Genomic DNA, 12,251 nt, shown 5'->3' on the forward strand with positions numbered 1-12,251 from the left:
CACCTACTAATCCCGATTTCTGTCTTTCGTACCTCCATTGCATGGAGCTTTGGAAGTACAGAAATGATTAAGACAAAGTCTCCTTCCTCAAAGATCGTGCAGCCTTGTGAAAGAGACAAACACATATACATTTAATTTTAATAAAATGTGTTTAGCCAGGCACAGTGGCTTATGCCTGTAACCCCAGCACTTTGAGATGCCAAGGCGGGAAGATAGCTTGAGCCCAGGAATTTGAGACCACCCTGGGCAACATGGCAAGACCCCATCTCTACAAGAAATATAAATAATTAGCAGGGTGTAGTGACACGCACCTGTAGTCCCGCTCCTTGGGAGGCTGAGGTGGGAGGATCACTTGAGCTCCAGAATTCTTGGCTGCAGAAAGCCATGACTGCACCACTGCACTCTAGCCTGGGAGGCGGGGTGAGACTCTGTCTCAAAAACAACAGGCTGGGCACGGTGGCTCATGCCTGTATTCCTAGCACTTTGGGAGGCTGAGGCAGGTGGATCACATGAGGTCAGGAGTTCAAAATCAGCCTGGCCAACATGGTGAAACCCCATCTCTACTAAAAATACAAAAATTAGCTGGGCATGGTGGTGCATGCTTACAATCCCAGCTACTCGGGAGGCTAAGGCAGGAGAATTGCTTGAACCTGGGGGACGGAGGTTGCAGTGAGCTGAGATCATGCCACGGCACTCCAGCCTGGGTGACAGAGTGAGACTCTATTTCAAAAAACAAAACAAAACAAAAAACAATAACAGCAACAACAAAAGGCAGGGGGAAATTGCTATGATAAAGTTATACATAGGGTGCTATGGGAGCACAGAGAAGGGACACTGAGGCCAATGCACAGCTCATGAAGGTTTTCAGGGGGAAAATGATACCTAAGGTGAACCACAAAACAACGAACGCTGTTTGAACATAAAGCATGAGGCAGGAAACACTGGGCTCTGATGGTTGGAGGGGTACATACAGGAACCATCATAGAAGTCATGGAGGTCAGGGCTTAGAAGGGGCATTCAAGCATGGCTTTGAATTATTTATTCCTATGAGAGTTTAAGCTCCCTCAGTGCAGGAACCTGGTCTGTCTTGCTCACTAATGGGTCTTCAATACTTAAAATGGTGCCTAGCATCTAAATGGTACTAAATAAGTATTTGTGGAACTGAATGAAAGCTTGGAAATAACACCACCAGATATATATCTCTTATAAATCATTTTGGCAGCTATGTGGGACATCAGTCCTGAGGCTAATGCAATAGTCCAGGTAGTGAATTGAATGAGACCCCAACATGGCAATGAGAACAGGATAAGGAAGAGGGAAGTTATCTGAGAAATGTTTACAAAGTGAAATCAGCAGGAATTGGTAACTGGATGTGGGAGGTGAAAGAGAGGCAAGGATGACTCTTAGTCGTAAAGACTATAGGAGAAGGGATGGGAGTGGTGGCTCACGCCTGTAATCCTAGCACTTTGAGAGGCCGAGGCAGGTGGATCACCTGAGGTCAGAAGTTCGAGACCAGCCTGGCCAACATGGTGAAACCCTGTCTCCACTAAAAATACAAAAATTAGCCGGGCGTGGTGGCTTGTGCCTGTAGTCCGAGCTATACAAAAGGCTGATGCAGCAAAATCGCTTGAATTTCCTGCATCAAGCGATTGCAGACTGCACTTCAGTCTGGGCTACACATTGAGACCCCATCTCAAAAAAAAATAATAATACTGCAGAAGGAGGACTAGATTTGGGGAGGGAATAAAACGAAGAAACCTACATGGCTAGAAATTCTATCTGAGAAAAATCTTTCTTCCACTTCCCTTTTCATTATCTGCCCTTGATCCTCGGGGACCCTCTAGACAGGTGATGTTCAGATCACATTCATCCGGTCATACACATTCAAGTCATGTTTATGTAACTTTGAAATTGTATCATTTATGAAATTATGATTTGGAATATAATTATATGTTATTTTTATAGTTTCTTCTTTTCTGAAAATATTTTCAGGTTTGTCATTTACTTATTTAAACCTGGTAAGCAGAATGGGTTTATCATCTGCGTCTGAAAATTCTGATCCCTGAAGTCCATGTGGCCTTTTTCTATTATCTGTTGTTTCTGCTGGTTCTCCCTCAAGTGCTTTTGCTTTCATGTGAGTGTGAGTCTCTTTAACTACATGTTTGACACTGCTCTTGAAAGTTACACATGAGGGTTTCCTGAGGCTCCGGAGGAATATGCTTTCCCCTGGGAGGCTGCGCATGTGCTACTGTCGGGTGCTTAGACACGCTGCTGCCTGGGAACCATCTCAAACCAAATTAACGCTTGAGGCTCTCTGGCTCCCTTAGATTCTGTGTGCTCAGAATGCAAATATATGTGAGAGCTGGTCTGTGGCCAATATTTCTAAGGATTTTTTTCCTTTTCTTTTTTTCTCCTGTTTACGTTTTCTAGTCTCTTGCGGTTATGAGGCAGAAGAGCATGTTTAGTTCTGCTTAACTCTCATGCTGTGGGGGTTGCACCTGTGGTTAAGGGCTATAGGGACACTTTCGGACCTGTCCTCCTGTGCTGGACTTCTGTCTCCCTCACTCCACAAGACTAACAACCTTGGCCAACTGGGTGTTGCCCCCAGTTCCCTCAGGGAAAATGTAGCTTGGATCTCCCCTAACCCCGTTCAATATATTATTCAGAAAACAGGCTTTATCCTAAAAGTGGACATTGAGTCCCCACTCGTCAACTTTTATCAGCTTTTCAATTTTTAAAGGCAATCCAAATAACCTAGCCCTCCTTTTCTGGAAAAAAGAAGTCTTCTGCTAGAAATATTGAACTTTGTAATTAACAAAAGGTAGAATAACCCAAAAGTTTTTTGCTTTGGGAATCTGCTGATAAAAATGTAGGTGAATATAGCTTGATTTTATTAAAGAATAAATGTTTATTAGTAATAGTCAAGATAAATCATTTCAGTTGGCTTCATTATTTGTAAAGCTGTATGAAATTCCAAGTAGCACTGTCTTTCTATCTCTGCACCTGGTACTCAGTTGATAAAAGTGTTTTGAATGACCAGGGACACAGATGGTGACCTGTACTAGTTTTTAATCATGTGACCTTAGGCTTCCATTTTCTCAATTTTGAAATGAGAAGGTTGAACTCTGAACTCTGAAATGACAAGGTCGTATCAGTTGAAAAAGTAGCATGGCTTATTTCAGAGCTAATAATCTGGGCTAATCACATTTCAGCTCTTTTCCCTGGGAAGGAAGGGAAAAACAGGTTTATCCAGTTACTACTTTTTCCCCCTCTCCTCAGTCTAAAGAATAAAAGAGTTTGTGACAGCATATGAACATAAATGAATATAGTAACACAGAAATATATACTGGTACTTTAAAAACAGAGGAAGAGAAAAGAGATGAACACACACATTTATTCCCTAATGTCCTATAATTGGGTCCACATCTATGCAAAACTGTGTGGTCGCCCAAGCAGAAAAGAAAACTTGATTAGTTACTAAACTCACATCGTGTGTGAAATAATGGCAAGCCACAGAAAAGCTTTTCTAGATCCTTGTTCTGAGAAAATCTTCTCCCATGGGTTTTTAACGTCAGTTTTCTAGGTCTTCCATAGAAAATGACCACAAACTGGGTGGCTCAGAACAATAGAAATGTATTCTCAGTTTAGGAGGATGGAAGTCTGAAATTGAGGTGTTGGCAGATTATTTTGGGGGATGCTGAGGCTGTCCCAGGATGACCTCCCAGCTTCTAGTGGCTGCTGGCAACCCTTGGTATTCATTCTTGTTTGTTTGTTTGAGATGGGGTCTCCCTCTGTTGCCCAGGATGGAGTGCAGTGGCATGATCTTGGCTCACTGCAGCCTCCTCCTTGGGCACAAGCAATCCTCCTGCCTCAGCCCCCAAGTAGCTGGGATTACAGGCATGCACCACCACGTCTGGCTATACATTATATATATATATACACACACACACACACATATATATATGGTATTTTTTGTAAAGACAGGGTTTTGCCACGTTGCCCAGGCTGATCTCAAACTCCTGCACTCAAGCCATCTGCCCATCTCAGCCTCTTGAGTAGCTGGGACTGCAGGCGTGTGTCACCACGCCTAGCCCTTGGCATTCTTTAGCTTATATTTGTATCACTCCAAATTCTACCTGGCATCTCATGACCTTCCCCTCTGTGTGCCTGTTGTCTCTGTATCCAAATTTCACTCTCCTTTCTCTTATTAAGACACCAATGGATTTAGAGCCCACCTAAATCCAGTAGGACCCCATCTCAACTTGATTATATCTGCAAAGACCCTGTTTCCAAATAAAACCACATTCACATGTACGAGTGGTTAGGTCTTGAATATGTATTTTTGGGGGACAAAATTCACAGGTCTTTACAAAAGAAAGCCTGAAGCGTGTAGCGGAAACATTTACACCTCCTCCAGCTGCCCTGCTCCCAGAGTATCCAGCGCCTCCTGTGCTCCACCCTCTTGTATCTCATCACCCCAAAGATGACTCCTTGACCACCTGGATGTCCGGCATATTCTAACAGATTGTTCTGAACTGCCCAGAGGGGCATTAATAAATAACAATAGCTGTATTAGCTATATCAGCTAGTTATTTGTACAAGAAATAGAAAAAGCACTGTCAGTACTTACTGTGAACTGAAGCTTCCTGGAAGAATACGAGATTTTAGAATCGTGATTAGTTTATCTTGGCTGAGTCTAATTAAGGTTTTGGAATGAGGATCTAGCCATCTTTATCCTTACTCCAAATTTCTATTTGAATAAACTGCCATGTTTGCTGCTATGTTTTAGCTAAAGTATGCATTGGGCAGAGTTTTCTGTGCCAAAGTCCAGAGAAGTTAAGACAATGGAGGTTCTGGGAAGAGTTTTGAGCCTCTGTGGTTAAATGGGTGCTATGGTTTGCATGTGCCCCCCAGATTCCGTGTACTGGAAACCTAATCTCCAGCTTCATATGTTGATTGGAGGTGGGGCCTTTGGGAGGTAATTAGAATTAGACAAAGTCATTAAGACAGGGACCCCATGATGAGACTAGTGGCTTTATAAGAAGAAAAGAGACTTGAGGTGGCAGGCTCTTGCCTTTTGCCATGTTATGACACAGCAAGAAGCCTCACTAGACACTAGTGCCTTGCTCCTGGACTTCCAAGTCTGCAGAACTGTGAGCTAAATAAGCTTCTATTGTTTATAAATTATCCAGTCTGTGGTATTCTGTGATAGCAACAGAAAGCAGACCAAGACAATGAGTTAGACACAGAAGCTGCTCTAAATGTTAATTGAGGAGCCTCAAGACATAAGCATACTGCTTTAGGGTTCATATTGGGGCATAGAGCCCAGGGAGAGGGAGGCTTTGTCATTTTTCTGTGGACACACAGCTTGACCATGCAGCGGGGAGGAGGACCAAACGGAAACCTGTGCCATTCTGTGTATGAGAACGTTTGCAGCATGGAGAATGTAGCAAGTAAGGAAGTAGCCTTCTGTGTGTTAGAGAAGAGACACTGGTAGCTATGGCAGTGAATAAGTGACTCCTCTCTCAAACACTTCTAAGTAGAGGACTTACTCATATAAGAAAGTTGGCCAGGCTCAGTGGCTCATACTTGTAATCCCAGCACTTTGGGAGGCCAAGCCAGGCAGATCACTCGAGGTCAGGAATTTGAGACCAGCTTGGCCAATGTGGTGAAACCCTGTCTTTACTAAAAAATACAAAAATTAGCTGGGCGTGGTGGCACACACTTGTAATCTCAGCTACTTGGGAGGCTGAGGCAGGAGAATTGCTAGAACCTGGGAAGCAGAGGTTATAGTGAGCCGAGATCATGCCACTACACTCTAGCCTGGGTGACAGAGCAAGACTCTGTCTCAAAAATAAAAAAAAAATTTTAAATGCAATGCCAAAATTAATGAACATGAGTGAATTTGTTTCTGAGCAAATGTGAGACAATTCTGGAGAGTCCCTGGAACAACTAAGATAATTTTTATTAAAAAAAAAAAATCTTGAATAGCAACCATTTTATTTTTATTGTGGTAAAATATACATAACATAAAATACGCCATTTTAATAATTTTACAATGTACAATTCAGCAGCATTAAGTACATTTACATTGTTGTGCAGTCATCACCACCATCTATGTCCAGAGCTTTTTCATCATCCCAAACTGAAACTCTGCACTCATTAAACAATAATTTTCAATTCTCCCCTTACCCCAGCCCCGACAACTTTGATTTTACATTTTGTCTCTAGGAATCTGACTACCTTAGACAATATTTGTACAATATTGTACAATTATTAGACAACATTTGTACAATTGTAATTTGTAAATATTGTACAATTATAAAGTATCGTACAATGTTTGTCTGTCTTTGTTTGGCTTATTTCACTTGGCATAATGTCCTTAATGTCCATCCACATTGTACCATGCATCAGAATTTCCTTCCTTTTCATGCCTAAATAATATTCCCTTATATGTATGCACTATATTTTGTTTATCCAGTCACCTGTTGACAGCCAGGAGAACTCTAATGTGGGGACTGAGGTCCTGCAGCTGTGTTGATGGGAACTAACAAGGTGACAGAGTTCAGATGCCAACACTAGCAAGAACTCAGTTGCACCATAGATTTGTCATACTTTTGGACACCCAGGTTACTGAATTGTGTGATTCTTTTCATCTGGCAAATGTCTTTTTTTACAGCTGAGGAAATGAACCCCCAGCTTGCTAAAGTCCTCGTATGTGCTGTCCCCTCTGCCCATGCTTGTCCCCTGATGACTGGACTTGGGCTTTGGCTCTGCCAAGAATGAATGATTGGCCAGGTGTGGTGGCTCACGCCTGTAATCCCAGCACTTTGGGATGCCAAGGTGGATGGAACTCTTGAGGTCAGGGGTTCGAGACCAGCCTGGCCAGCATGGTGAAACCCATCTCTACTAAAAATACAAAAATTAGCCAGACGTGGTGATGCACACTTGTAATTCCAGCTACTCAGGAGGCTGAGGTGTAAGAATCACTTGAACCCGAGACGCGGAGGTTGCAGTGAGCAGAGATCGTGCCACTGCACTCGAGCCTGGGCGACAGAGCAAGACTCTGTCTTAAAAAACAAACAAAACAAAAAACAATGAATAATTGGCTTCTCTCCCTTAAGCCTTGCAAGTAGAATCAGGGGGCCGTCCAGCCCAGTCATAAGAAAACTGAAGTGACCTCTCTTCTCTCTGACTGCCAACAGAATGGGTCACAAGAAACAAGCTCTCTCTATCGTTATTGGAATTCTTAATTTATCTTTGTGGAAATAAATCCTATTTACATAAAAAGAACTTTATCAGATTTACTTGTTCATGTTCTCTCAAGAGTTATATAGAATTGGTAGATATATTCCCAAATTGCCATATTGTCAGATGGGCAATTTGGCCCATCTGACTGTTAGAACACTGAGAGGGTGTGATTGATGTGTGCAGAAGAACACAGCTGGAGGGCCATTTGAGTGTAATTACTTGGGGTTTTATTACTCTCCTTGCAAATGAAAAATGTGAAGATGTGCAAGTGCCAATTGTTCCCAATTACTTGAAATAGTTTCTGTTAATATCCAACCCCTTTCTGCAATTGTATTGCCAACTCCAAAGGGAAATTACCAGATTATTGTATAGATTGTTAAGGTGGCTGAGCATGGTGGCTCACACCTGTAATCCCGGCACTTTGGGAGGCCGAGGTGGGAGCATTGCTTGAGCCCAAGCATTCAAGACTAGCCTGGGCAACATAGGGAGACCCCATCTCTACAAAAAATTTAAAAATTAGTCAGGTATAGTGAAGCCCACGTGTGGTCTTAGCTATTCAGGTGGCTGAGGTGGGAGGATTGCTTGAGCCCAGGAGGTTGAGGCTGCAGTGAGCACCACTGCACTCCAACCTGGGAGACAGAATAAGACTCTGTCTCAAAACAAAAAACAAACAAAAAGGCCGGGCACAGTGGCTCACGCCTGTAACCCTAGCACTTTGGGAGGCCAAGGCGGGAGGATCATCTGGGGTCAAGAGTTCGAGACCAGCCTGGCCAACATGGTGAAAACTCATCTGTACTAAAAATACAAAAATTAGCTGGGCATGGTGGCGGGCACCTGTAATCCCAGCTACTTGGGAGGCTGAGACAGGAGTATTGCTGGAACCTGGGAGGTGGAGGTTGCAGTGAGCCAAGATCGTGACATTGCACTCCAACCTGGGCAACGGAGCAAGAACTCCATTTCAAACAAATAAACAAATAAAAATAACAACAACAAAACATATACATCCATATATATTGGTTGAGCTATATACACACACATATATATATAGCTTAATAAAACAATTACATGGTTGAAATAAGATCATCAGAAAAGTTACCTGAATTCAATTAGAACAGTATGTGTCACCTCTTTGAGGCTCAACGGAATATTGATAACAAATTAATAAATAAATAGCCACATAGAAAATACAATATAACTTTATACAAATAATAGTATATTGCCATAACTAGATATGTAAAGTCTCCTTGACACATAAACAGTAAGAGGAAAAACCACAAATCAAATCAAACTTTTTAAAAATCTTTTTTCCCTTTCTAATTTTTTTTAGTTAGCTTTGAGTTCAGCTATCAAAACCAAACTTTTTTTAACTCATTTTCTCTCCTGACAAAAAAAAAGCATAAGTAGAAAAATAAAATAAAATTGGGAATATTCGTTTTATTCCACAAAAATGAAGTGAGCAATTCTGAGTGGAACTTTGGTTACAGAAGAGACAAGCTGCTTCCTGAGATAGGGGGATTTTATGAAGAAGATAGAATGAGAGAATACAAATAATGGTTGATCTAATAATTTGCAATTGAAGTTGAGACAACCTAAGCCACCTTCCCAACTCTCCCACTTCTCAGGAGTGATATCAATGTCTTATTAATTTAATGAAGCCCTAGGAATCATGAAACTGAGTTGTACTTTGGAGAAAAGGAATCAAAAGTCTCTCTCTCTCATTGAAGATACCAAAAAGATAATTTAAAACACATATTCTATTTGACTTTGTATTAATCCATTTTCATGGTGCTGATAAAGACGTACTTGTCCTGGGCAATTTACAAAGGAAAGAGGTTTAATGGAGAGCTCCAGTTCCAGGTGGCTGGGGATGCATGATGATCATGGCAGAATGCATGCAGGAGCAAGTCACATCTTACATGGATGGCAGCATGCAAAGAGAGCTTATGCAGGCGAACTCCTGTTTTTAAAGCCATCAGATCTCATGAGACTTACTCAGTATCACAAGAACAGCTTGGAGAAAAACCCACCCCATGATTCAATTACTTCCCATCAGGTTCCTCTCACAACACATGAGAATTGTGGGAGCTACAAGGTGAGATTTGGGTGGGGACACAGAGCTGAACAATATCATTCTGCCCTTATCCCCTCCCAAAACTCATGTCTTCACATTTCAAAACCAATCATGCCTTCCCAACAGTCCCACGAAGTCTTAACTCATTTCAGTATTAACTCAAAAGTCCACAGTCCAAATTCTTATCCAGATAAGGCAAGTCCCTTCTGCCTATGAGCCTGTAAAATCAAAAGCAAGCTAGTTACTTCCTAGACATAATGGAGGTACAGGAATTGGGTAAATACAACCATTCCAAATGGGGGAAATTGGCCAAAACAAAGTGGCTACAGGCCCCATGCGAGTCCGAAATCCAGCAGGGGAGTCAAATCTTAAAGCTCCAAAATGATCTCCTTTGACTCCATGTCTCACATCCAGGTCATGCTGATGCAAGAGGTGGGTTCTCATGGTCTTGGGCAGCTCTGCCTCTATGGCTTAGCAGAGTACAGCCTCCCTCCCGGCTGTTTTCACAGGCTGGCATTGAGTGTTTGCAGCTTTTTGAGGTACATGGCGCAAGCTATTGGTGGATCTACCATCCTGGGGTCTGGAGGACGGTGGCCCTCTTCTGGGCACAGCTCCACTAGGCAGTGCCCCAGTAGGGACTGTGTGTGGGGTCTCTGACCCCCCATCTCCCTTCTGCACTGCCCTAGCAGAGGTTCTCCATGACAGCCCCACACCTGCAGCGAACTTCTGCCTGGGCATCCAGGCGTTTCCTTACGTCCTCTGAAATCTAGGAGGAGGTTCCCAAACCTCAATTCTTGACTTCTGTGTACTGGCAGGCTCAACACCACATGGAAGCTGCCAAGGCTTGACGCTTGCACCCTCTGAAGCCACAGCCTGAGCTCTACTGTTGCTCCTTTCAGCCATGGTTGAAGTGGCTGGGACGCAAGGCACTAAGTCCCTATGCTGCACACAGCGTAGGGACCCTGGGCCTGGCACATGAAACCACTTTTTCTGCTAGGCCTCTGGGGCTGTGATGGGATGGGCTGCCGTGAAAACCTCTGACGTGCTCTGGATATATTTTCCCCATTGTCTTGGAGATTAACATTCGGCTCCTCGTTACTTACGCAAATTTCTGCAGCTGGCTTGAGTTTCCCCTCAGACAATAAGATTTTCTTTTCTATCGCATTGTCAGGCTGCAAATTTTCCAAACTTTTATGCCCTGTTTCCCTTTTAAATCTGAATGCCTTTAACAACACGAAAGTCTCCTCTGGAATGCTTTGCTGCTTAGAAATTTCTTCCCCCGGATACTCTAAATCATCTCTCGCAAGCTCAAGGTTCCACAGTCTCTAGGGCAGGGACAAAATGCCACCGAGTCTCTTTGCTAAAACATAACAAAAGTCACCTTTGGTCCAGTTCCCAACAAGTTCCTCACCTCCATCTGAGGCCACCTCAGCCTGGATCTTATTGTTCATATCACTATCAGCATTTTTGTCCAAACCATTCAACAAGTCTCTAGGAAGTTCCATACTTTCCCACATTTTCCTTTCTTCTTCTGAGCCCTCCAAACTGTTCCATCCTCTGCCTGTTACCCAGGTCTAAAGTCATTTTCACATTTTCAAGTATCTTTCCAGCATCACCCCACTCTACTGGTACCAATCTACTGTATTAGTCTGTTTTCACACTGCTGATAAAGACGTACTCGAGAATGGGCAATTTACAAAGGAAAGAGGTTTAATGGAGAGCTCACAGTTCTGCGTGGCTGGGGATGCCTCACAATCATGGTGGAAGGCAAGGAGGAGCAAGTCACATCTTACGTGGATGTCCAGAGAGCTTGTGCAGGTAAACTTTATTAACTATCATGAGAATAGCATGGGAAAGACCCGCCCCCAAGATTCAATTACCTCCCACTGGGTTCCTCCCACAATGCATGGGAATTGTGGAAGCTACAAGATGAGATTTGCGTGGGGATACAGGGCCAAACCATATCAGATTTTATTTTCAAACGCATTTTCTTAATAATACAAGGTGCTTTTTAAAGAAATTATTTATACATATTCCAATTGGCATATATATTTTGTTACCATAAAAAGGTAATATACACATATGGTTGTATATGAAGAAGAAACAGATAGTAGGCTACATGTAAAAATGATAAAGGGCTGCAGCCAATTGAGCTGATGGAGTTCCTTTCCTCCTGGGGCCCAGTGTGCAAAAGCTGCAAACAGCAGCTTCCTTGGTAGTGTACGCAGCCTGTTTCTTATATGGGTTGCTCTAAGGGACCTTGGAGACAGTCATATGGTTGTTCATGTCTCTGACCTTGCACTACCCTCAGTGCTCTGAATAGGTATTCGAGGTGCCTTTGAAAAGCCCCAGGGTGCTGTGGCCAGGGTTCACATTGGCCAAGTCATCATGTCCATCTGCACCAAGCTGCAGAACAAGGAGCATGTGATTGAGGCCCTATGCAAGGCCAACTTTAAGTTCCCTGGCCGCCAGAATATCCACTTCTCAGAGAAGTGGGACTTTACCAAGTTCAGTGTGGATGAATTTGAAGACATGATGGCTGAGAAGCAGCTTATCCCAATAACTGTGGGGTCAAGTATACCCCCAATCGTGACCCTCCGGACAAGCGGTGGGCCCTGCACTCATGAGGGCTTCTACTGTGCTGCCCCCTCCTAATGCCCACCAATAAATCCTACTTCCTGTCCACCTTAAAAAAATGACAAAGTGTAGTCACCTCTTGAGAGTAAGAATAGGGCTGGTGTGGAAGTGAGTTTTTACTTCTCACTGGACATATTCCATGTTGGAAAACTGTTCTGAAGTGGGTATCATTTTTATAACATTTAAATTTCAAAAAATATTTCACTGTGTGCCTAGTCTGTGCAAGGGGAGAATGCAGAGGAGGGAGGCATTAGAACCACACGTGAGGAACTCTGGAGTCCAGTGTGTTTGA

At 43.1% G+C, this 12,251-nt stretch overlaps 1 non-coding gene and 1 pseudogene across 1 annotated transcript; both read left to right on the plus strand.

Moving 5' to 3' along the window:
• The first annotated feature begins 11,460 nt into the window (after positions 1-11,460).
• Positions 11,461-11,594, plus strand: LOC124900259 (small nucleolar RNA SNORA70). Its single transcript, XR_007061200.1, has one exon. It is a non-coding gene; the product is annotated as a small nucleolar RNA SNORA70 (small nucleolar RNA).
• RPL10P19 (ribosomal protein L10 pseudogene 19) lies at positions 11,633-12,010 on the plus strand (annotated as a pseudogene).

Source organism: Homo sapiens, chromosome 8 (genome assembly GCF_000001405.40).
Source record: "Homo sapiens chromosome 8, GRCh38.p14 Primary Assembly".
Lineage (NCBI taxonomy): Eukaryota > Metazoa > Chordata > Mammalia > Primates > Hominidae > Homo > Homo sapiens.